This window comes from Homo sapiens, chromosome 13 (assembly GCF_000001405.40).
Source record: "Homo sapiens chromosome 13, GRCh38.p14 Primary Assembly".
In the NCBI taxonomy this organism is placed as follows: domain Eukaryota; kingdom Metazoa; phylum Chordata; class Mammalia; order Primates; family Hominidae; genus Homo; species Homo sapiens.
Window position 1 is genome coordinate 112256105 of NC_000013.11, and position 26243 is coordinate 112282347.

A 26243-nucleotide genomic window follows, 5' to 3' on the forward strand; every position below is an offset into this window, starting at 1 on the left:
TCCAGCCTACAACCCTCTGCTCAAAAGCAAAGGAGAAAGGTGCCTCTGCCGTAAGATTGAAATTGTTTTGGGAAACTCTCTCCAGTCCGTGCCTGGAAACAAACCAATGGATGGTCATCTCAACAGCACAGGGCGCCCTCTGCGGAAAAATTATAGGGTTCAGGCTGTTTAGCCAGTAGCAAAATTGTGTTGAAAATCAAAAATTGCTTTATAATGTACTTAATAGAGTTTTCTGAGAGAATGCATGGGCCTCTGTACTTTGAGATCTTCTGAAAGATCTGGTGGAAGCTTTGTCCCATAAATGAGCCATTTTCTTTCTCATAAATGTGTCAATACAGGGGGAGATGCTTTTGCTTAGTCCAAAGAACAAATACAGTAGTTTCCCTGATCATCTCATGCTAAATATATTATTTTACCCTAATCATAAGGAATAAAACAGAAGGAGTTAGCTGACTGATTAAGGGAATTCAAATTACTTTTGAAATCTGGGAGTGTTCAGGAGAAAGAGTTGGGGCTCGTACAAGTGAGAGATTAGAGAAATTCTGAAAGAATTATCTCTCTCTTTCTATAAATAAAAATTAAGTTTATTTTCAAAAAATTCAACACAGAGGTTGGTGTTATTTGGTGTGGGGTGATTTAATCAAAGGGTGCATGTTCAGGGTGCTGGTAACTGGAGACTTTTGCAATCCCCGCCTTGCCAGCCCATGTTGGGGGGACCCTCAGGAATTAGGGTGCCCCACAGCCATGTGCCCGCAATCTGAGCTACCTGTCAGGAAGCAAGAGGTACTTAATAGAGGAGGATATGCCCCGCACCCACACCAGGCCCTGGGGACAGCCGCCCTAATTGCTACAGATGACCCGCAAGTTCCTAAAGGGCTGATTTTGTAGACTCACGTAAGCTCTGGGTAGACCCGGCTGATTTTCCCAAGCCTCTCAGCCAATCGGCTGCCTCATCAAGTGTACAATGTAGATTTGGATGAATTTTCTGACATTTTCCCTGCGAGTTACATGAACAATACAGGCATTCCCATTCATGATGTATGTAAATGGCCCATCCTCATCTCCCAAATGTCACTGTGGTGGCCAAATCAAAAAATCAAAACTGGTTCTTTCTCACCAGGTCCCACCACGTGTGTGTTGCCTGGTGGATTTTTGGGGAGAGGACTCAGGAAGGAGAGACCTAGACAGACACATTGACACAGCTCCCGGGCCTGGGGTGGGTGAGAAACCAAACCCCACCACACCCAGCACCCAAAGCCCAAATCCACCCACACTTTGAGGCAGGTGTGGGGAGAAGGCCTGCCTGCAGCCCCTCTTGCCCCCAGCCTCACCACGGGGACCCCAAGCTGGGCTCTGGAAAGAAATTTGGTTTTCAGACAAAGTGGCTCCCAGAGAGTCGGGTGGGATGACAATGATAAGAGCCACGTCCTGAGATTTCCTGGTTAAGCTGCTAATTTCCCAGGATAAAGGAAAAAAAAAAAAGCATAAAACTGAAATAAAAAGAAGAAAATTTTATAAATTTAATAATTATCTACAAAAGAAAGATATTTGGTCTGGTATTTAATTCTCAACTGCAACACTAAATGAAACATAGTAATAAAGCCAACTTTACAGAGTTTTAAGGTTAAATTATTATGAATTATATGAATATTTAATTATTGTTCAACTGTAAGGGCAAATAAAAGGAGTATTTGGAAGTGCAAGGACTCAGAAAAAATAAACTTTTCTGAAAGAATTACTCAAGAAGACACTCCATACAACTGAAAAATGAGTTAGAATAAAGAACTTAACATAAAATATAGAAAAAGTGATATTAAATAAACAGTAAAACTTATAATCAAGTCTAAATAGCTTAATGATACAGTTGTAAAGCTTAATGCAGTGGTTAAGCCCATTGTTTTGAAAACTGTTCTTTTATTGTTTTTTCTTTTGAGACCGAGTCTCGCTCTATTGCCCAGGCTGGAGTGCAGTGGCACAATCTCAGCTCACTGCAACCTCCGCCTCTTGGATTCAAGTGATTCTCCTGCCTCAGCCTCCTGAGTAGCTGGGATTATAGGTGTGTACCATCACGCCCAGCTAATTTTTGTATTTTTAGTAGAGAGGGGCTTTAACCATATTGGCCAAGCTGGTCTTGAACTCCTGATCTCAGGTGATCTGGCTGCCTTGGTCTCCCAAAGTGCTGGGATTACAGGCATAAGCCACTGTACCCGGCCCTGAAAACTGTTATTTAATATAATTTGTGTGATTTTTTTTAGTTGGTTCAGGCTAAATTCAGTCCCTGCTACTCCGTCTTAACCAGAAGTAGAGTTCAACTATGTCTTCTTATAGATTAAATTCTCTAAATGTTGCTGGTAGGCAGAAATGCAATTAAAAAAAATACTGGTACATATTACTCAATATTTAAGCATGTCTTATGTATCCTAAATGTTTTAAAGTATTTGTGGGTGTACTCTTTATATAATCTAGTCATCTAAATAATGACAGCTTTGTATGTTTTCTTTTTAATACTCATACCTTTCACATTTACTTGTCTTTTGTGCTAATTTAATGTTGAACAGATGTAGTGGTAGTTAGTATTCTTCACTTGGATATGTCTTACTATTGACAGTGAAATTTGTTGTGATTTTTTTTGGTAACTTTGGTTTTTATGGTTTTCTGCTGTTGTTACTTAGAGATTTGTCGACTTTAAAAATTTCCTTCCATTCTTATTTTAAGATTTTTATCAAGGATACATACTGAATTTTATCAAACACATTTCTTTCTTTTGAGCAGATCATACAGCTCTTCTCCACTGATCTGTAAAGATGGCAAATGACATGAAGAGATTTTCTACTGTTGCACCAGCTTCAAATCAGCCCACCTGGGACGGGCTCTCCAACATATTTGATGGACTGCTAGGTTCCGTTGGCTGAGCCATGCACTCACATACGTGAGTGAAGCCAGCCTGTGCTTTTCATAAGGAGTTATACACTCTCACAGGTACCAAAGTGTTTGTTGAATCTACGAACATTTTGAAGTAAAATCACAACCAAATTTGTGGTTTCCCTTTTCCTCAACACATGATGATCCTGCCATCTTTTGCTTTCTAGCCACAGTAAGAACATTTTTCACTTAGAAATGGGACAGATGAAGAAGGAATGAAGAGAGCACGGTTATGATGGAGGCGAGTGGTAAGGAAGAAGGTGAGGCAGGTGCTCCTGGAGGGAAGAGAAGGTGCTCCACAGAGCTCATCCCTCTGCAGGGCGAGAGGCAGGTGAAAAGGATGGGCACCCAGGACACGCAGGTGGAATAAGCAGGAGAAGGCAGAATTTGGTTTGTCCTCCTCTGGGCATGAAACCTCATTTGCAATGAGTCAAGTGAGGTTCAAATCCCTTTCTAGAGTTTTCCACAAAAAACCCAAACTCCATGTGATAAAAATCATGCATATTTTCCATTCCGGTTGACTCAAGCATAATAATACACCGACAACTATAAATGCCACTCTGTGAGGCTCAGATTTCAGCCGCCAGCCTCATCCTCACCTTCTCACTGGGTGTCTGGGGAATCGCCTCTTTTCTGGTCTGTCCAGATTCCTTATCTCACCCCGTGCAGATCCTCTTGATCCTCCTGTGCTCCACACTAATCTTGTCTTAAGCTGGTCTGTGCAGGGATATTGCTTCCCTGTGTCAGGGACCTTGTTGCTATCTGCATAAAATTCTTGGCCTCTCCATCTGCAATTACTCAAAGTTCACATTAAGTACCACGTCTCTATCAATTACTAAAGAGGCTTTGCTCGCCTCTAATAAATTCTGCAGCACAGAACGTGCTTCTACTGCATTTGTGTGGTTCCGTAGCTTTCTCTTTCTTTTTGAGTCCTCTCTAATTTCTGGTCAAAGGTCTACATGTGATGATAATAATAATCACAATAATCACGATAACACTAAAAAGAAGTTAGCATTCATCCAATCTCATTATGTGCTGGACACTGCACTGGAACCTTATATACATCGTCTCTAATTTTCACAACCTAATGAGACCTAATTTTACAGATAAGAAAACTAAGCTCCCGGCACTGGCTGGCGGCAGGAGGGACGTAGGCGAAAGGCTTACCCCCAGGGCTCTCCCACACAATCCTACCCGTCCTCTGTGCCTGCAGCAGTGCAGGGACCTCGGTTCTGGGCCATTTCACACCCGCTATCTCTCTGAGGTGGAGGAAAGGAGGTGGGAGAGAATTGCTGCAGGAAGAGGCGGCCACCACCCGCCACAGGGACTCGTGACACTGCAGAGGAGCAAAGGCTCCAGAGCGCAGCTCCCAGCACTGAGCCCTCACTGCTGGTGCACAGGGTGGTCTGGGCTCCCCTAGGAGCCACGGGAAGCACGAGCTCGTGGAGTCTGCATCATCCGAGGGCCGGAGCAGCTCTTACTTCATCTCCTTCGTATCTGCACGTCTAAGCCCACTTGAAAATAGTGTCGGCAGGTGGGATGGTGGAGCAGATGCGGGTTCTTGGAAGCAGATCCAAGACAGATGTGTGTGCAGGTGGTGTAGTGGGGAGTGCTGTCAGGAGTAACACCTGGAAGGATTCAGGGAAGCAGCATTGAAAGAGAGGAAGGTAAGCCAGGGTGCAAAGGCAAGAGGCTTCGGCAACCCCATGTGGAATCCCATGCCAGGACGGCCCTGTAGGCACATCCTGAATTGAGGGTTGAGAGCCGAGCCTGTGTGTCCTCCGAGCCGCTCCTGGGAAGGGCCACTTAGGTGAAGCAGCACCTGTCAACCAAAGGCACCTCCGGGGGAGGTCTTGGCTGGGAGCTCTCAGCAAGCAGCACCCCAGATTCTTCCCCCATGGGGCCAAAGGTTGCAACCACTGGCTCAGAGGGCAGAACTGTGATTCGCCGTACGCCCCAGGTACTTGTAAGTTTGGTGTTTATAGCTTCAAATCTTTAAAAATATAGTTTTAATAGCAAGTGATGAAAAATGCACGTTACATTTAAAACAGCAAAATATAAAATAAAGATTTTTTTCTGGCAAGGAAGTCCAGGGAGTCATCAATGCAGATCCCTCCACTGCAGAGCACTCTGGCTCCCCACCCAGCCCCCAGGTGCAGAGAGTCATCCATTCAGGCCTCCACTGCAGAGCACCCTGGCTCCCCACCCAGCCCCCAGGTGCAGAGAGTCATCCATTCAGGCCTCCACTGCAGAGCATCCTGGCTCCCCACCCAGCCCCCTACAAAGCAGGCCAGCACCTGCCAATTAGTGGTGTGCCTGCCCCTCATGAGCCAGGGACCACGGTGGCAATCACACCCAGCTGAGATCAAGGATTAGCAAATCAGCATGGCCCCAGACTGCAGACACTACTGAAGCACTGCAGGCACAAGCTCAGTAGCTGTGCTGTTTTCCTAGGTAAGTAGAGAGTGCAGACTCTCACTGCTGTTCACCCTTGCTCATCCATCAATATGGGCGATTAAGATGAGCGCTGATTCACCATGCCACCCCTATCAAACACCAGCAAATCAACACTCACATATCACCTCTCTTAGGATCTTCATGACTGCCTCCTCTTCTCTTAGAATACACTGTATTTCCTTACTGTTCTCCCAGAAGACTGGATTTTTTTAAAGTCAATCCAAACCCTGCCCTAAATGGGCACCTGCTTGGAAACAGCCCTGAGGAGGCACTGACTTGACCCCATCATCATCCCTGGAGCTGATTCTGCAGCTGCTGCCCTGGTTCCCAGTGCTCTGCATTGGAAACGCATTGTCGATGCTTTAACCAGCACTCACAGAGTGCAGGCAAGAGGCTTCCTTCCTTGCCTGGCACCTGTCCTGTCTGCTCTCAGTCTTACCTGAAGAAAAGTCACTTCCTTCACCCCGATTGACTGGCATAGCAGAAGCTGAGACCTTTACTGCAAGAACAGCATCCTCGGCTCCCAGTGGACCTTCCATGACCTGAGGGCCACCCGGGAAACAAGTGACCCCATGAGGACAAGATCACAGGCCTGAGGGCCACCTGAGAAACAAGTGACCCTATGAGGACAGAGCACAGAGGTCAGCACAGATGAAAACAGCCTGTATTTACCTGTCTTGAAATGCCCAGAAAGCCAAGCTGAAGAGCCGTGGAGAGTCCAAGCTGCCCTGGCCCCTGCAGCCGGGACTGGGGATTCCTGTCTTGCGCTGGTGCAATCATGCATTCGTAGCTTGGGGAGGCTGAGCTTCAAGCCTTCTCTGATTCTGCTTCACCTGGGCGGGAGAACGTGGGTTCACTTTTTTCTAAGTTTGCCCCGTATTTGATTTCTAATGGACTCAAAGGGAAATGTGTAGCCTTTGGGTAGCTCTCCTTGTCTCCTGGGCCATCAACTTAATCAATATCTATCTATTGGACACTCTGTGTGCAAGACACTAAAACCGGGTGAGAAGAAACAGATGAGGAAAAATGAGCCACTAACACTTGGTCAAAACTCTGGTTCTTCAGAGCCCTAGACTTCCACATCTCCCTGTGAGATGCAAGGATTGGGTAGGGCTGAAGGACACAGCTGCAAACAGAAGTGAATGAGTGATCAAAAGGTGGTCTGGGAGGACCCAGGGAGCTGTGAGCACCTTAGCTGCCCAGCTCCCTTTGTGACAACCCCTGAAATGAAGACAGAATCATCCCAGCACTTATTACCAATGCTGTCCTGGGGCCCCAGGGAGGGCTCAGAACTTTGATACAGTCCTTTCTTCATGTTGTTTGTATCAATAACCACATCACAATAGTAAATAAATGACCTGGACAGAAAGGTAGAACAAGAGGATTAGAGTTTTCAAGTGGAACTGGTATCATTATCCAACGTTTAGAACAAATTAATTCAAAATTCAGTAGCTTAGACAAGAAACACCTATTACCTCACCTGGCTTCTGTGGGCCAAGAGTCCAGAGAGGCCTAGATGGGTAGTTCCAGCTTGGTGTCCTTCAGTCACAATGTCAGCAGGCTGCATCATCTGAAAGCTTGACTGTGGCAGGAGGACCAGACCCCCATGACCCCTTCCACCTCCAGTGCTTGCCATGTTGACCTCTCCGTGGGCTCCCTGGGCATCTTCGTGACAAGGTGAAAGTCTCGGTGCCTTTTAGGGCCTGGATTTGGAAGTAACACACCATCACTTCTGCTGTGTCTTATCAGTGCTGAAGAGAACTGTCAGGGAAGATTGCTGGGGCCATCCTGAAAGCCATCACAGTCTGGCCTCAGGCCCCAGTGATTCGCGTTCTTCCTACTCACGGAATACATGTGTCCCCTTCCACAGCCCAGTAAGCCTCATCCCTTCGCAGCTCAGCCCAAAGCCCAGAATTTCAGCACCTAGGTTAGGTCCGGCTGTGGGAGATGGGCCTGGTTTTGCTCTTTAATAAAGAGACAAGTTATCTGCTCAGCTTTAAACTCCCCAGCCACATCCAATATACAGTGGTGAGGTAAGCATAGGATGGCTCCTTAAGACATTCCTATTCTACAACCGATTTTGAGTTAATTTTTGTATGAGGTATGTAGGTCAGGGTTCTTGTCTCTTTTTTTCATGTTTGTTCAATTGTTTGAGCCTACAGTTTGACATAACTATTCTTTTCTGTACTGAATTGCCTTTATGACTTTGTTTAAAAAAAAAAAGCTGATCCTACTGTGTGAATCAATTGATCTATGTGTCTGATCTTTCACAGAACCATACTGTCTTGATTATTGTAGTATTATAATAAATATTAAAACCAGGTTGTGTAAGCCTTCAACTTTATTCTTTTTCAAAATTGTTTTGGATACTCTCATTCCTCTACCTTTCATGTAAGTCTTAGAACCAACTTGTCAATATCTACAACATCTATCTCTATCTATCCATCTCTATCTCTCTATCCTTTATGTGTGTTCTCTCTATTAGTCGTCTGTCTCAACTTGGGCAGAACTGTTATTTTAGTAATATTGAAGCTTCCAATTCAGGAATACAATATATCTTTCCATTCTTTTAAGTTATCATTGGTTTCATTCATTAGCATTTTGTACTTTTAAGCACACATGTCCTCCACATTTTTTGCTGTACGTACATCTAAATATTTCTCTCTTTTTTGGTGCAATTGAAATAGTACTTTTAAAAAATCTCAATTCCAATTGTTCATTCAGAAATACAATTGATTTTTTCATATTAAATATGTATCCTGTGAACTTGCCAAACTCACTTATTAGTTATAGGAGCCACTAAGGTGCCTTTGGAGATATTCTGCATAGAAAATAATGTAAGTCGCAAGTGTTTCTTTCCAACCTATATGCCTTTTGTTTTTTGGGTTTTTTGTTTGTTTGTGGGATTTGTGTATGGTTTTTTGTTTGTTTGTTTGTTTTTTGCCTGATTGCACTGAGACTTTCTGCACCATGTGGACTGGGAGCAGTGAAACCTGACATTCTTGTCTTGCTTCCCACCTTAGGAAGAAAGCTCTATCTTCCACCACCAAGTGTGGGGTCCAATGCAGTTTCCTGTAGCTGCCCTTTATTGAGATAAGAGACTTTTCTAAGGTTTTTGAGCATCTTTATTATAAATGGACATTGAGACTTGTCACATGCTTTTTCTACATTAATTTTTAATGTTGAGATAGACTTGCATTTCTGGGATAAACCCCACTAAGTCATGGTGTATTATCATTTTTACATATTGCTAGAGTTGATTTGCTAATGCTTTGTTGAGAACTTTTGCAACTATGTTCATGAGGGATATTTGTAAGAATCTCTTTTTTTAGAATATCTTTGTGTAGTTTTTGTATAAAGGTAATATTTATTGAGCAGTGTTTTCTCTTCTTCTATTTTCTGGAAGAGATTTTGCAGAATTGGTATTATTTCTTTCTTAAATGCTGGTGGAATTCACCAGTAAAACAATCAAGGCCTGAAGTTTGCTAATTAGGAAGGTTGTAATTAAAAATTCAACTTCTTTAGTAGATATAGGACTATTCATGTTGCCTGTTTTTCTTGAATGGGCGTTAGTAATTTATGATTATCAAGAAATTAGTCCATTTTATCTGAACTGTCAACCCTACAGGCAGATAGTCATTTGTGGTGTTCCTTTATTACCCTTTTCATGTCTGTAGGGTCTACAGTGATGCCCACTCTTTTATTTCTAACATTGGAAAATTGTGTCTTCTTTCTTTTTCTCATGGTTATTCTCACTAGAGTTTTATCAGTTTTATTATCTTGTTAGAGAAACAGCCTTTGGATTCATTGATTTTCTCTTCTGCTTTTCTGTTTTTAATTTGACTGCTTTAGTCTCTTACCTTTATTATTATATTCCTTTTACTTACTTTGGGTTTAATTTACTCTTCCTTAACTAGTTTCTATAGGGGAAAATGTGATTATTGATTTAGGAGTTTTGTTATATTCTAATAAAACATTCCATGTTCTAGATTTCTAACACAACATTTTATGTCACAAATTTCCTTCTAAGCTCTGTTTTAGCTGCATCCTACAAAGTTTAATATGATGAATTTTTATTTTCATTCAGTTCACAATATTTTCACTAATTTCACTTGAGAATTACTAGTGATCCATAAGTTATTTCAGAAGTGTGCTGTTTAATTTTCAAGTATTTGTGTATCATTCCAATAATATTCCATTATTGACTTCTATTTTATTTGTTATGTACCAAGAACATGCTTTGAATGATTTCTTTTTTAAGTTTAGGCTTTACTTTATGCTCCAGAACATGGCCTATCTTTCAGAATGTTCCATGTGCACTTGAAAAACCAATGTGTATTTTGCTCTTTTGGGGTGGAAAGTTCTATATATGACAATTAGATCAAGTTTTTTGTGTTGTTTGCATCTTCTATATCCTTCATTTTATGAAGCCAGCATCATCCTGATACCAAAACCAGGAAGAGACACAACAAAAAAAGAAAACTTCAAGCCAATATCCCTGATGAACATAGATATGAAAATAATTCTCAATAAAATACTGGCAACCCAAATCCACCAGCACATCAAAAAACTTGTCCATCATGATCAAATTGGCTTCATCCCTGGGATGCAAGGCAGGTTCAACATACACAAACCAATAAACGTAATCAGTCACATAAACAGAACCAAAGATAAAAACCACATGATTATCTCAATAGATGCAGAAAAGGACTTTGATAAAATTCAACATCCCTTCATGTTAAAAACCTCAATAAACTAGGTATTGATGGAACATATCTCAAAATAATAAGAGCTATTTATAACAAATCCACAGCCAATATCATAATGAATGGGCAAAAGCTGGAAACATTCCCTTTGAAAACCAGTACAAGACAAGGATGCCCTCTTTCTCCACTCCTATTCAAAATAGTATTGGAAGTTCTGGCCAGGGCAATCAGGCAAGAGAAAGAAATAAAGCATATTCAAATAGGAAGAGAGGAAGTCAAATTGTCTCTGTCTGCAAACAACATGATTTTATATTTAGTAAAACCCCATCATCTTAGCCCAAAAACTCCTTAAACCGATAAGCAACTTCAGCAAAGTATCAGGATACAAAATCAATGTGCAAAAATCACAAGCATTCCTTTACACCAACAATAGACAAGCAGAGAGCCAAATCATGAATGAATGCCCATTCACAATCACTACAAAGAGAATAAAATACCTAGGAATACAGCTAACAAGGGACGTGAAAGACCCCTTCAAGAAGAACTACAAACCACTGCTCAAGGAAATAAGAGAGGACACAAACAAATGGAAAAATATTACATCCTCATGAATAGAAAGAATCAATATCATGAAAATGACCATACTGCCCAAAGTAATTTATAGATTCAATGCTATTCCCATCAAACTACCATTGACATTCTTCACAGAATTAGAAAAAAAAAAAACTATTTTAAATTCCATAGGAATCAAAGAAGACCCCGTATAGCCAAGACAATCTTAAGCAAAAAGAACAAAGCTGGAGGCATCACGCTACCTGATTTCAAACTATACAAGGCTACAGTAACCAAAACGGCATGGTACTGCTACCAAAACAGATATGTAGACCAATGGAGCAGAACAGAGACCTCAGAAAATACACCACACATCTACAACCATCTGATCTTCGACAAACCTGACAAAAACAAGCAATGGGGAAAGGATCTCCTATTCAGCAAATGGTGCTGGGAAAACTGGCTAGCCATATGCAGACTACTGAAACTGGATCCCTTCCTTACACTTTATACAAATATTAACTCAAGATGGATTAAAGACTTAAATGTAAAACCCAAAACCATGAAAACCCTAGAAGAAAACCTAGGTAATACCATTCAGGACATAGCATGGGCAAAGACTTCATAACAAAAAAGCCAAAAGCAATGGCAACAAAAGCCAAAATTGACAAATGGAATCTGATTAAAATAAAGAGCTTCTGCACAGCAAAAGAAACTATTATCAGAGTGAACAGGCAACCTACAGAATGGGAGAAAATGTTTGCAATCTACCCATCTGAAAAAGGCCTAATATCTAGAATTTACAAGCAACTCCTTGCTGATTTTCACTTGAATCATCCTATCAATTACAGAGACAGATATAATGACATTTTCAAATATAATTGTGAATTTGTCTATTTCTGTATTCAGTTGTATTTCTTTCACTTTATATATTTCGGAGCCCTCCTAGTTATTGACCCTGTTACCTTTATGCAATACCCCTCTTTATTTCTGGTAATTTTCCATGTTCTAAAGTCTACATTGTCTGATATTAATACAAGCAATCAAATTTCTTTTCAATAGTGTTTGCATTGTACATCTACTTTTATTCTTCTACTTTTAACCTATGTCAGCATATTTAAAGTTGTTTTCTTATAAACAACATACAGCTGAGTCTTTGTTTTTAGCCCAATCTGACATACTCCATTATTTAATAGGCGAGTTAAGACCATTTATATTTCATGTAATCATTGATTTGTTTGTATTTAGGTCTACTATATTAAGATTTGTTTTTTATTCGTTCCCTCAGTTTTGATATCTCTGTTCCTATTTTCTTGCTTTCTTCTTAATTATTTGGATTGCTTTAGTATTGTATTTTTCTGTTATCTTTTTTGTTATGGCTTCTTGTTTGTCTTTTGTTTGTTTGTTTTTCTTTGTTTTTTTAGTAATCGCTCTTGTGATTACTTACTCTTGTGATTATAGACAAATATCCCTCATAAACATAGTTGCAAAAGAAGTCCTCAACAAAGCATTAGCAAATCAACTCTAGCAATATGTAAAAATGATAATACACCATGACTTAACATTTACCTAAAATTTTAGTCTAATTATATTTAATATTTTACCACTTTATTCAAAATATGGAAGGTTTACAAACATGTAGCTCTGCTTGTTCTCCCCTTTTATTTTATAGCTTCATAAATATTATCTATCATTATTGAATACCACCTAGTAAATGTTATAATTTTTGCTTTCAGAGTGATGTTTAAGAGGGAAACAAGAATAGCTTGATATATTTACTCATATGTTTGCCTTCTCTCACTCTTCTTACTTTTTGAAGTTCCAGGATTCCTTTTGATATCATTTCTCTTCAGCGTCAATAATTTCATTTAGTATTTTCTCAAGAGCAGTTCTGCTTATGAGTTCTTTTTGTTTTCATTTATCTGAGAATGTCCTTATTTTGCTACCATTCTTCTGCATATTTTCACTGGTATAGAATTTTTGGTTGGCCATCATCTTTCAGCATTTTAAGGATATTGTTCCACTGTCTTCCAGGTTCCATGGTTTCTGATAAGAAATTTAAGTTGTTCAAATTATTATTTCCTGCATGTAATGCAGTGCTTTTCTTTGCCTGCTTTCATGATGTTTATTTATCTTTTATTTTTAGTACTTCGACTATAATGTGCTTTGGTGTGATTTCCTTTGAGTTTATTCTGTATGGGGCTCTCTGATCTTCTTCAATCTGTACATCTGTCTTTCAGTTCAGCATGTCTGGCCATACTTTCTTCAAATTCCACACCAATCTCTTTCTTCTGTCTCTTTAGGACTCTACTGTCGTAAATGTTAAGCTTTTGATATTTCCTCACAGGTCTATTTATTTTCTATTCAATCCTTTTTTCTCTGTTTTTTTAGATTGAATAATTTCTATGATTTAATCTTCAAGTTCACAGACTGTAAGTTCCATGACCTCCATTGTGCTATTGAGCCCCTCCAGTGATTTTTTTTTAATTTCAGAGATTGTATTTTTCAGTTCTAACATTTCCATTTGGTTGTATTTTATAGTTCTATTTCTCTGATGAGGCTTTTCTGTCATATCAAGAATGTTTGCCTTTACCTCAGGATACATGATTAAAGTAGGTTCTTTCAGTTCTTTCCCTGATAATCTCAACATCTTCCTCATTCTGGTTTGAAAACTATCAACACTACATTTCCTTCAGAATTGAGAGGTCCTATGGGGAGATAACTTACTACAAATCCAAATTTATAATTGACATAGAGATATGTAAGTATTCAATTTACCAATTTCACTTTTGGTAATTTGTGTCTTTGAAAAATGTGATTCATTTCATCTAGATTACAAAATTTATTGGCATAGAGTTACTCATAATATTCGCTTTTTGCCTTTTAACTGTCTGATCTATAGAGATGTTTTTTCTTTTGTTCCTGTTATTGGTAATTTGAGTTTCTTCTGTTTTCACCCCCTCCATTGACTAGTCTAACTGAAGGTTCATAAATTCTTAAAGAACCAGTTTTTGTTTCACTGATATTTATTTATTTTAGTTTTGATTTTAATAATTTCTACCCCTCTTTTTATTATTTTTTTTCTTCTTACTTTTGGTTTAATTTTCTTTTACTAATATCTTAAGTTGGTAACTCAGATTACTGGATGTAGACTATTTTTCTAAAATGTGAATTTAAATCTACAAATTTCCCTCGTTACTATGTTAGCTGCATCCCATAACTATTGAAATGTATTTTTATTATTTAGCTAAAAATATTTTCTGATTTTCTTTTTAATTTTACTCATGGATTATTTACAAATGTGTTGTTTAATTTCCAAATATCTGGGGGCGTCCCAGTTATATTTATGGTGAAGCTCTTTAACTTAACTTTATTGTAGTCGAGAGCATACTCTATGTGACATCAATCTTCTTAAATCTGATGAGACTTGTTTTAGGCTACAGAATCTGGCACCTGCTGGAGTAGCACACACAGGTGAAAAGAATTTGTATTCTGCTGCCATAAGGTATAGTGCTCTACAAATATCAGTAAACTCAAGGTCAATAGTGGGGTTTTTTTGGTTGTTTTGTTTTGTTTTGAGATAGAGTTTCGCTCTTGTTGCCCAGGCTGGAGTGCAATGGCATGATCTCGGCTCACTGCAACCTCCGCCTCCCAGGTTCAAATGATTCTCCCGCCTCAGGCACCCAAGTAGCTGGGATTACAGGCATGCACCACCACACCCGGTTAGTTTTTGTATTTTTAGTAGGGACAGGGTTTCGCCATGTTGGCCAGGCTGGTCTCAAACTCCTTACCTCAGGTGATCCACCTGCCTTGGCCTCCCAAAGTGCTGGGATTACAGGCATGAGCCACCACACCTGGCCAATAGTGTTTTTTAGTTATTCTTTTTTTCTGATCTTTTGTCTAGTTCTTCTATAAATTGCTGATATGGGGTTTAAAGTATCCAACTCTGATTGTGGAATTTTCTATTTCTCCTATATTTCTATCCATTTTTCTTCATGTATTTAGAAGCTCCATTATTAGATACTACACATTTATAATTATTGTGTTTTCTGACTAAATGAGCCTTTTGTTATAAAGTGCTCTTTATCTCTGGTAATGTTTTTGTCTTAATATCTATTTTCTGATAGAAAGATACCCACTTGAGGCTGTTATGCTTTATGCTTGTGTGGTATATCTTTTCTTGAATCTATTCACATCAACCCATCTGTGACTTTATATTTAAAGTCAGATTTCCTGTAAAAAGCATGGAGTTGGGTGTTGCATTTGTATTCACTGGAGAATCTCTTCTCTTCATTGCAATGTTTAACATGATGTGAGTTAAACACTGATGTAACATTTGGTGTAATATGGTTATGTTTGACTCTACCGTTTGAGAACAGTAGTTGCCTCTTATTGGAAGTGTTCATTTCTGTAGTTTCAGTTCCCTGCAGTCGACCATGATCTGAAAATAGGTGCATACAGTACAATAAGATATTTTGAGAGAGAGAAATCACACACACATCACTTTTATTATTGTATATTGTTATATTAGTTACTGTTGCTAATTTCTTACTGTTCCCAACTTATAAATTAAGCTTCATTATAGGTGTGTGTGTATACAGAAAAAATATCATATATCTAGGGCTTGGTACTATCCACTGGGGGTCTTGGAACGTCTTCGCCACAGGTAAGGGGAACCACTGCATTTGTTTCCTATTCATTCTTTCTGGGTTTTGTTGTTGTTATTCCTTTCTTACGTGCTTTCTTTGGGTTGTTTAAACTCTTCTCATGGGAACTTCAGCGAGGCTTTAAGTCATCTGGATAGCCCAGAAAATAAAATAATCTTGGATTGCTAACTCCATTTGGTGCCTGGAAAAAGGAAGAGAAAATTATCTCTGGAGGAAGATAACATTATATAAGGCCTCAAAGTATTTCTGCAAATACATATATGGCATACACACACACAGATATATATATATATATATATATATGAAAAATATATGCTAATCAACATCAGATAACAGCAGTGAAAATAATATTCATGACACGAGCAGAATGGGCACCTCATCCCCCACCTTCCTTCTCGCTTAACTGGATTTCAAAGTCAGAGCCTCCTCAGGACCCCAGATTAGTGTCACCTAAACCACCTCAGGTACATCAGCTGCAAGAAGACTTGGAGGACAGAGTTTAGGTTTCACGTCCCTGAGCTTCTGAACGGTTCCTGAAAAGGAGTTGGTGTGGACACAGCACAGCCTCCTGTTGCCCCCAGCACATCCCTCGTCTCCTAGCAGATGAGGCCTCCAGATAACCCCACTCCGCTCCCTGTAATGATGGAATGGTCCAGGGTGTATACTTTAAAACACACCTGGACCAGATCAACACTTCCTCATAGCAGGAAAATAAGGACGCGAATGCAATCCTGTGACCAGAAAGAGTGCACTCTATCTGGGAAAGACGCTAAGTTTAAAAAAGCTCCAGTTTACACAAAAGATCTGATTGTTATGATAAGCATATGATGAAAAGTGGCTCACCCTAATGGAAAGTGGCTCAGTTTGAATTAACTCGTACAGCCAGGTCCCATGTCCCGATGGAGAGTTCGCTGCAGATGGAAGCTAGAAGTCAACATTTTCCATGCACGGAAGTCTCTTGGGCACCAAAGGTCTAGAACCCCTCCCCGCTGCTTCTAGTGCCCACAGGGCTCCCTACCATCATTGTGAAATCAGGAAGTTGATTGTGAGTGTGCCTGCAGGTCCTTTCTTGTCCGGTGCAGGGATACTTTTTCTCGTGATGACAGAGAGCAAGCGCCTGCAGCTGCGTGTCCACCACACGCCTGGCCTGTCTCAGAGGCGTGGGCTGCAGGCACTTCACAGGCATTGCTTGTGTCATGGCAGCAACTTCAGATCAGGCTTTTGAACAGGAGTCTGTCATTCTGGTGGGCCATGGAGTGAGTCAGTAGCTGTTACTCATTAAACAAAAGGAATCTTCTGTGAGCTGACGGCTTCTTCAGAGTCGGATGGAGGGGCTGCTGTGGAGATCAGGCGCATCCTGACAGGCTGGTTCTGGTAGGCACGAAAGGTTCAGAAGAAAGAATTTCAAAAGATAAAAATGCCCCCAGCAGAAACAATGAATAGCAAGCACACGCGTGCCACCCCACACGCGGAAGTCACACAAAGCTGATCGGGTTTCGTGTGCTCCTCGTGTTCCACGGAGCACCTCATCTGGAGTGGGCAGGTGGCTCCCTCGGGTCTCTCTCCTTCTGATGATAAACCCCCCAGAGCGGGGGTACAGCTCTTTACCGCTTCCTTTGCAAGTCTACGTGGCATTTACGAGTCAACCCAGTCATAAAGCAAGTAAGTCTCCAACCTCCGGTGTCTAGTCACAGTTAACCGTTTCAGCCTCTCTAGGCTGTGGCCATAGCCATGGGCTCACTGATGGTGGTTAATATTAACAACCCGTATTTCCATAGAGGTTTGCGGTAGGTAAAGTTTCATCCTCATCTCCATGGTAGGTTATTATTGTCAATACAGGGAAACAGGCCCTGAGAGATTCAGTCAACTGCCCAAGTCAGTGGTCTGAATGAGTGGTAACTGGTTTCTGTCTCTCTCAGTTCAGAGCTCTCAGCGGTGCCCCACCGGGTCCCCTCTGTCCTGAGCAGAGGCCACACATCCCACGTCTGTGGCCGTGTCATTCTTGGGGTGGAAATTTTGGAACTTGTAACACTACATGGTCACTTGGCTATATTTACTGAAATTGATTGTTGTTAAGTCTACTTCAGTCCAGATCATAACTCAGATATATCAGAGGTATCATTCAGATATTATCCAAATTATAATAATTATACCAAATTATAATTTTAATAAAGTGGTAAAATCTTTACTAATAAAACATAAAGTCCAGTGCAGGAGACATTGCTGTGTCATGGTCCCTAAATATCAGAAATTTGGATTTTTTTTTAAAGTCCTATTTTTATACAAAAATTACCCAGACGTGGTGGCAGGCAACTGTAATCCCAGCTACACCCTGGAGGCGGAGGTTACAGTGAGCTGAGATCACACCATTGCACTCCAGCCTGGGCAACAAGAGCAAAACCTCGAAAAAAAAATCCTATTTTTACTTAAGAGTGCATGTGTTTTATATGTGTGTATGTATTCATCTTGTTCTCGATGAGAAAACATATTGGAACTTATATCAGTTCATGTTTTCCCTGCTGAAATATAGTTGAAGTTAGTTTATTCTCTACTGAAAAGGAAAATAATGCTTAACATAAAAGCATAGATCAATTTAAGTATCAGTGCATCACAACCAAGACCACACTGAAAGAAAATATCTGAATACACATATTTTTTATTATTAAGGTATTTTATGTTTATTTAATACATTTTCAAATGATTAAAGTATACGAAGTAGAAAACTCATATGCTTTAATGACTTAGTCAAGTTCCCCACATACATCCTTCGCTGGCTGCCTGGGGTCAAACCCTTCCTCTACAAATTGTGATCTTTGTGACCTCTGGCAAGTTACGGAACTTCTGTGCCCCTCCTGTACAATGGGGAGAAAAATGGAATCTGGCTGTTGCCAGGAGATGAGGATGGAAGCATCTCTTTTGCCCCATACACAGATTATCTCCTCATCCCACCTCGAATTCCGCCTGCAGAGCTGAGACGATGGCCATGAATGCTGCCACAATCCCACCTCACGTGTGCACCTCGTAGTCACTACTTTTCCTCCAGACATTTTCTCAAGCCAGAAGAATGAGCACAGCCCACATCTGAAGCAGCCTGAGAGGCTGGGCCTGCAGGGGAGATACCGGCCCTATGGAAGGCAGTTGGTGGGCAAAAGTCCGGTTTCTACGCTTTGAGGGGACACCTGTGGGGCACCCTGAGGCCCAGCCCTGCTGGGTGAGTATGGCCTGGCTGTGTGTCTTCACAGCTCCTATCACGACTTCAAATTATCTTCCACATTTGTCTCCAGGTGACTAATTACTGAGGTGAGGCCTGCAGTAGTCAGAAGAATTTCCTCCTAATTTTGTTATGAATGTGTGTGCGTATTATATAGCAAATATCTTTGTTTTCTTCCCTCTCTTATCCTGTTATGTAACATAAGATGTATTTAGGTTATAAGATTGTATTCAAGAATTGTGAATTTTACATCATAGAATCTAAGTTGAAAATATCAGAAGAAGAGTAAACCTCACTCAAGGCCTTTATTTCCTTTTCTGGGGAAGAGATTGTGTGTTTTCAGTTGTATGTGGGATTAGCTGTATCACGTTAGGTGGAATGGTGACCTTGGTATCTTCTTTATTTGAGGATAAAGTGTGGTTTTAAGGAAACCCATCAGTGCCAAGGTGACAACGGGTGACGTGATGGTGAATTTTACGTGTCAACTTGATGAGGACACAGGGTGTCCAGATATTTGGTCAGACATTCTGGGTGTGTCTGGGGGGTGTTTCTGGTTGAGATTAATATTTTAATTGTCAGACTGAGTAAAGCAGACTGCCCTCCCTAATGGGGGTGGGCCTCATCCACCCACGAGAAACCTGGAATAGAATGAAAGGGCCGTCCCTCCTCTGAGAAACGGGGGACTCTGCTGGCTGATGGCCCCCACCTGGAATGCTGGCTCTTCCTGCCCAGCTGCCTTCAAGCTGGGACATTAGCTTTCTGCTGCCTTCAGACTCTAACTGGAACATCTCTTCCTGGGTCTCCAGCCTGCTGGCCTTTGGACTGGAGCTACACCATCAGCTCTCGGAGGTCTCCACTCGCCAACTCACCCTGCAGATCACGGAACTTGTCAGCCTCCATAACTGCAGGAGCCAATGCCTTATAATAAAATCTCTTTCTCTTGTCTTTTCTCTTTCTCTCTCTCTAGATAGATAGATGTATGAAACAAGGAAGCAGAAAAGAAAGAATGATAGAAGATAGACGATAAATAGATAGATAGATGGAAAAAGGAGGAAGAAAAAAAAGGGAGGAAAGAAAGAAAACAAAGAACTGGTATCCCATTGTTTCTGTTTCTCTGGAGAAACCCAGTGAACACAGATTGTGATCCCTCATTAGAATCTAAGTACCAGGAGAACAGAAACCTTGTCTTTCGTGATCATAATCCTATAAACAACAAAAAAAATTAACACCTGGGTCATTAGCTCAGAGGAATCCAAGATGGAAATGGCCAGAGGATGGAACAGGTTGTTTTCCCAGATGAAGCCTCCAGGTAAGCATGGACCACTCCTTCAGGATGCAGCCAGGTAAGCGTGGACAATTCCTTCAGGATAGAGGCTGGTAAGTATGAACCATTCCTCCACGGTGTAGCCAGGTAAGCAGGAAGCATTCCTTCAGGATGCAGCCAGGTAAGTATGAAACATTCCTTCAGGATGCAGCTAGGTAAACATGGATCATTTCTTCAGGATGGAGCCGGATAAATGTGAATCATTTCTTCAGGATGCAGCCAGGGAAGTGTGGACAATTCCTTCAGTGTAAAGCCAGGGAAGCGAGGGCCATTATTACTTCAGGATGGAGCCAGGTATGCATAGACCATTCCCTCAGGATGGAGCCAAGTAAGCATGGACAATTCCTTCAGGATGCAGCCAGGTAAGCACAGACCTTTCCTTTAGGGTGCAGCCAGGAAACTGTGGACCATTTCTTCAGGATGGAGCCAGGTAAGCGTGAAACATTTCTTCAGGATGCAGCCAAGTAAGCACAGACCTTTGCGTTAGGGTGCAGCCAGGTAACTGTGGACCATTTCTTCAGGATGCAGCCAGGTAAGCATGAACCTTTCTTCTGAATGGATCATTTCTTCTGGATGGAGCCAGCTAAGCATGGACCATTCCCTTAGGATAAAGCCAGGTAAGTTTGGACCATTTTCTCAGAATGCAGCCAGGTAACCAAGGACCACTCGTTCAGGATACAGCCAGGTAAGTGTGGATCATTCCTTCAGGATGCAGCCAGGTAAGCATGGATCAATCCTTCAGGATGCGGCCAGGTAAGCGTGGAACATTCCTTCAGATGGAGCAAGGTAAGCATGGACCATTTTTTCAAGATAAAGCCAGGTAAGCATGGATCATTCCTTCCAAATGGAGCCAGGTAAGTATGGGCCATTCATTCAGGGTGAAGTGAGATAAGTATGGGCCATTCATTCAACATGGAGCCAGGTAAGCATGGACCATTACTTTAGGGTACATACAGGTAAATATGAGCCAGTATTTCAGGATGGAGCCAGGTAAGTGTGAATGTTTCATTAAGGAGGGAGCCAGGTAAGCATGGGACATTCCTTCAGAATAGAGCCAGGTAAGCATGGACCATTCCTTCTGGATGCAGCCAGGTAAACATAAAACAATTTTTCAGGATGGAGCCAGGTAACCCTGGACCATTTCCTCAGGATGCAGACAGGTAAGCATGAACCATTCCTTGAGGATGCAGATATAAAAGTGTGGACCATACCTTCAGAATGGAGCAAGGTAAGTGTAGACCATTTGATCAGGATGCAGCCAGGTAAGCAGGGACCATTCTTCAGCATGCAGGTAGGTAAGTATGAACCATTTCTTTAGGATGCTGCCAGGGTAGCATGGATCATTCCGTCAGGATGCAGCCATGTAGGCATGGATCATTCCCTCAAAATGGAGCCAGGTAAGCACTGACCATTCCTTCAAGATTCAGTGAGTTAAGTGTGGGTCATTCCCTCAGGATGCAGCCAGGTAATCAGGGACCATTCCTTCAGAATACAGCCAGGTAAGCAAGGAGTGTTTCCTCAGGATGGGCCCAGGTAAGCATGGACCATTCCTTCAGGATGGAGCCAGTTAAGTGTGGACCATTCCTTCAGACTACAGCCAGGTAAGCATGGACTGTTTCTTCAGGATGGGCCCAGGTAAGCATGGACCATTCCATCAGGATGGAGTCAGGTAAGTGTGGACCATTACTTCAGGATGGAGCCAGGTAAGTGTGGACCATTCCTTCAGAATACAGCCAAGTAAGCATGGACTGTTTCTTCAGGATGGGCCCAGGTAAACATGGACCATTCCTTCAGGATGGAGTCAGATAAGTGTGGACCATTCCTTCAGGATGGAGCAAGGTAAGCATGGACTGTTTCTTCAGGATGGGCCCAGGTAAGCATAGACCATTCCTTCAGGATAGAGCCAGGTAAGTGTGGACCATTCCTTCAGAATACAGCCAGGTAAGCATGGACTGTTTCTTCAGGATGGGCCCAGGTAAGCATGGACCATTCCTTCAGAGTGGAGTCAGGTCAGTGTGGACCATTCCTTCAGGATGGAGCCAGGTAAGTGTGGAACATTTCTTCAGAATACGGCCAGGTAAGCATGGACTGTTTCTTCAGGATGGGCCCAGGTAAGCATGGACCATTCCTTCAGGATGGAGTCAGGTAAGTATGGACCATTCCTTCAGAATGCAGCAAGGTAAGCATGGACTGTTTCTTCAGGATGGGACCAGGTAAGCATGGACCATTCCTTCAGGATGCAGTCAGGTAAGTGTGGACCACTCCATCAGGATGCAGCAAGGTAAGCATGGACTGCTTCTTCAGGATGGGCCCAGGTAAGCATGGACTATTCCTTGAGGATGGAGCCAGGTAATCAGTGACCATTGCTTCAGAATACAGCCAGGTAAGCATGGACTGTTCCTTCAGGATGGGCCCAGGTAAGCATGGACCATTCCTTCAGGATGGAGCCAGGTAAGTGTGGACCATTCCTTCAGAATACAGTCAGGTAAGCATGGACTGTTTCTTCAGGATGGGCCCAGGTAAACATGGACCATTTCTTCAGGATGGAGACAGGAAAGTGAGGATCATGCCTTCAAAATACAGGCAGGTAAGCATGTACTGTTTCTTCAGGATGGGCCCAGGTAAGCATGGACCATTCCTTCAGGATGGAGCCAGGTAAGTGTGGACCATTCCTTCAGAATACAGCGAGGTAAGCATGGACTGTTTCTTCAGGATGGGACCAGGTAAGCATGGACCATTCCTTCAGGATGCAGTCACGTAAGTGTGGACCATTCCTTCAGGATGGAATCAGGTAAGCAAGGACCATTCCTTCAGAATACAGCCAGGTAAGCATGAACTGTTTCTTCAGGATGGGCCCAGGTAAGAATGGACCATTCCTTCAGGATGGAGCCAGGTAAGTGTGGACCATTCCTTCAGAATACAGCCAGGTATGCATGGACTCTTTCTTCAGGATGGGCCCAGGTAACCATGGACCATTCCTTCAGGATAGAGCCAGGTAAGTGTGGAACATTCCTTCAGAATACGGCCAGGTAAGCATGGACTGTATCTTCAGGATGGGCCCAGGTAAGAATGGACCATTCCTTCAGGATGGAGCCAGGTAAGTGTGGACCATTCCTTCAGAATACAGCCAGGTATGCATGGACTCTTTCTTCAGGATTGGCCCAGGTAACCATGGACCATTCCTTCAGGATAGAGCCAGGTAAGTGTGGAACATTCCTTCAGAACACGGCCAGGTAAGCATGGACTGTATCTTCAGGATGGGCCCAGGTAAGCATGGACCATTCCTTCAGAGTGGAGTCAGGTAAGTGTGGACCATTCCTTCAGGATGGAGCAAGGTAAGCATGGACAGTTTCTTCAGGATGGGCCCAGGTAAGCATGGACCATCCCTTCAGGATGGAGCCAGGTAAGCGTGCACCATTCCTTCAGAATACAGCCAGGTAACCATGGACTGTTTCTTCACGATGGGCCCAGGTAAGCATGGACCATTCCTTCAGGATGCAGCCAGGTAAGTGTGGACCATTTCTTCAGAATACAGGCAGGTAAGCATGGAGTGTTTCTTCAGGATGGGCCCAGGTAAGCATGGACCATTCCTTCAGGATGGAGTCACGTAATTGTGGACCATTCCTTCAGAATACAGCCAGGTAAGCATGGACTGTTTCTTCAGGATGGGCCCAGGTAAGCATGGACCATTCCTTCAGGATGGAGTCACATAAGTGTGGGCCATTCCTTCAGGATGGAATCAGGTAAGCAGGGACCAATCCTTCAGGATGGAGCAAGGTAAGCATGGACTGTTTCTTCAGGATGGGCCCAGGTAAGCATGGACCATTCCTTCAGGATGGAGCCAGGTAAGTGTGGACCATTCCTTCAGAATACAGCCAGGTAAGCATGGACTGTTTCTTCAGGATGGGCCCAGGTAAGCATGGACCAGTCCTGCAGGATGGAGCCAGGTAAGTGTGGACCATTTCTTCAGAATACAGCCAGGTAAGCATGGACTGTTGCCTCAAGATGGGCCCAGGTAAGCATGGACCATTCCTTCAGGATGGAGTCACGTAAGTGTGGACCATTCCTTCAAGATGGAATCAGGTAAGCAGGGACCATTCCTTCAGAATACAGCCAGGTAAGCATGGACTGTTTCTTCAGGATGAGCCCAGGTCAGCATGGACCATTCCTTCAGGGTGGATTCAGGGAAGTGTGGACCCTTCCTTCAGGATGGAGCCAGGTAAGTGTGGACCATTTCTTCATAATACAGCCACGTAAGCATGGACTGTTTCTTCAGGATGGGCCCAGGTAAGCATGGACCATTCCTTCAGGATGGAGTCAGGTAAGTATGGACCATTCCTTCAGAATGCAACAAGGTAAGCATGGACTGTTTCTTCAGGACGGGCCCAGTTAAGCATGGACCATTCCTTCAGGATGGAGTCAGGTAAGTGTGGACCACTCCATCAGGATGCAGCAAGGTAAGCATTGACTGCTTCTTCAGGATGGGCCCAGGTAAGCATGGACTATTCCTTGAGGATGGAGCCAGGTAATCACTGACCATTCCTTCAGAATACAGCCAGTTAAGCATGGACTGTTTCTTCAGGATGGGCCCAGGTAAGCATGGACCATTCCTTCAGGATGGAGCCAGGTAAGTGTTGACCATTCCTTCAGAATACAGCCAGGTAAGCATGGACTGTTTCTTCAGGATGGGCCCAGGTAAGCATGGACCAGTCCTGCAGGATGGAGCCAGGTAAGTGTGGACCAATTCTTCAGAATACAGCCAGGTAAGCATGGACTGTTTCCTCAAGATGGGCCCAGGTAAGCATGGACCAATCCTTCAAGATGGAGTCACGTAAGTGTGGACCATTCCTTCAGGATGGAATCAGGTAAGCAGGGACCATTCCTTCACAATGCAGCCAGGTAAGCATGCACTGTTTCTTCAGGATGGGCCCAGTTAAGCATGGACCATTCCTTCAGGATGGAGTCAGGTAAGTGTGGACCATTCCTTCAGGATGGGCTCAGGTAAGCATGGACCATTCCTTCAGGATGAAGTCAGGTAAGTGTGGACCATTCCTTCAGAATACAGCCAGGTAAGCATGGACTGTTTCTTCATGATGGGCCCAGGTAACCATGGACCATTCCTTCAGGATAGAGCCAGGTAAGTGTGGACCATTCCTTCAGAATACAGCCAGGTAAGAATGGACTGTTTCTTCAGGATGGGCCCAGGTAAGCATGGACCATTCCTTCAGAGTGGAGTCAGGTAAGTGTGGACCATTCCTTCAGGATGGAGCAAGGTAAGCATGGACTGTTTCTTCAAGATGGGCCCAGGTAAGCACGGACCATTCCTTCAGGATGGAGCCAGGTAAGTGTGGACCATTTCTTCAGAATACAGCCAGGTAAGCATGGACTGTTCTTCAGGATGGGCCCAGGTAAACATGGACCATTCCTTCAGAGTGGAGTCAGGTAAGTGTGGACCATTCCTTCAGGATGGAGCAAGGTAAGCATGGACTGTTTCTTCAGGATGGGCCCAGGTAAGCATGGACCATTCCTTCAGGATGGAGCCAGGTAAGTGTGGACCATTCCTTCAGAATACAGCCAGGTAAGCATGGACTGTTTCTTCAGGATGGGCCCAGGTAAGCATGGACCATTCCTTCAGGATGGAGCCAGGTAAGTGTGGACCATTTCTTCAGAATACAGCCAGGTAAGCATGGACTGTTTCTTCAGGATGGGCCCAGGTAAGCATGGACCATTCCTTCAGGATGGAGTCACGTAAGTGTGGACCATTCCTTCAGGATGGAATCAGGTAAGCAGGGACCATTCCTTCAGAATACAGCCAGGTAAGCATGCACTGTTTCTTCAGGATGGGCCCAGTTAATCATGGACCATTCCTTCAGGATGGAGTCAGGTAAGTGGGGACCATTCCTTCAGGATGGATAACGGTAACCATGGACTGTTTCTTCAGGATGGGCCCAGGTAAGCATGGACCATTCCTTCAGGATGGAGCCAGGTAAGTGTGGACCATTCCTTCGGAATACTGCCAGTTAAGCATGGAGTGTTTCTTCAGGATGGGCCCAGGTAAGCATGGACCATTCCTTCAGGAGGGAGCCAGGTAAGTGTGGACCATTCCTTCGGAATACAGCCAGGTAAGCTTGGAGTGTTTCTTCAGGATGGGCCCAGGTAAGCATGGAACATTCCTTCAGGATGGAGTCAGGTAATTGTGGACCATTCCCTCAGAATACAGCCAGGTAAGCATGGACTGTTTCTTCAGGATGGGCCCAGGTAAGCATGGACCATTCCTTCAGGATGGAGTCACGTAAGTGTGGACCTTTCCTTCAGGATGGAATCAGGTAAGCAGGGACCATTCCTTCAGAATACAGCCAGGTAAGCATGCACTGTTTCTTCAGGATGGGCCCAGTTAATCATGG

General features: G+C 42.8%; 2 long non-coding RNA genes across 3 annotated transcripts, besides 2 other annotated features; one reads left to right on the forward strand and one right to left on the reverse strand.

The window, feature by feature from the left end:
* Positions 1-620: 620 nt before the first annotated feature.
* On the reverse strand, positions 621-16896 carry LOC101928730 (uncharacterized). Its single transcript, NR_120422.1, has 9 exons — positions 16148-16896; positions 15374-15485; positions 15004-15078; positions 6860-7082; positions 6052-6212; positions 5819-5921; positions 3522-3710; positions 895-1074; positions 621-766 (listed from the first exon to the last, which is right to left on the reverse strand). It is a non-coding gene; the product is annotated as an uncharacterized LOC101928730 (long non-coding RNA).
* Positions 3773-4274: an enhancer, noted in NCBI's record as "H3K4me1 hESC enhancer chr13:112914191-112914692 (GRCh37/hg19 assembly coordinates)". NCBI's record gives its function as "activates a minimal SCP1, AML or CMV promoter by ChIP-STARR-seq in primed H9 embryonic stem cells {active_cell/tissue: H9 hESC(primed)}" and the evidence as "EXISTENCE:reporter gene assay evidence [ECO:0000049][PMID:30033119]".
* Positions 4275-4774: an enhancer, noted in NCBI's record as "H3K4me1 hESC enhancer chr13:112914693-112915192 (GRCh37/hg19 assembly coordinates)". NCBI's record gives its function as "activates a minimal SCP1, AML or CMV promoter by ChIP-STARR-seq in primed H9 embryonic stem cells {active_cell/tissue: H9 hESC(primed)}" and the evidence as "EXISTENCE:reporter gene assay evidence [ECO:0000049][PMID:30033119]".
* A 138-nt stretch (positions 16897-17034) lies between the features above and the next one.
* LOC107984555 (uncharacterized) lies at positions 17035-19477 on the forward strand. Of its 2 annotated transcripts, XR_001750072.2 has the most exons (3): positions 17035-17091; positions 18236-18515; positions 19322-19477. It is a non-coding gene; the product is annotated as an uncharacterized LOC107984555 (long non-coding RNA). The 2 variants fall into 2 exon arrangements; XR_007063896.1 differs by having other exon boundaries at positions 18236-19477.
* Positions 19478-26243: the final 6766 nt, after the last annotated feature.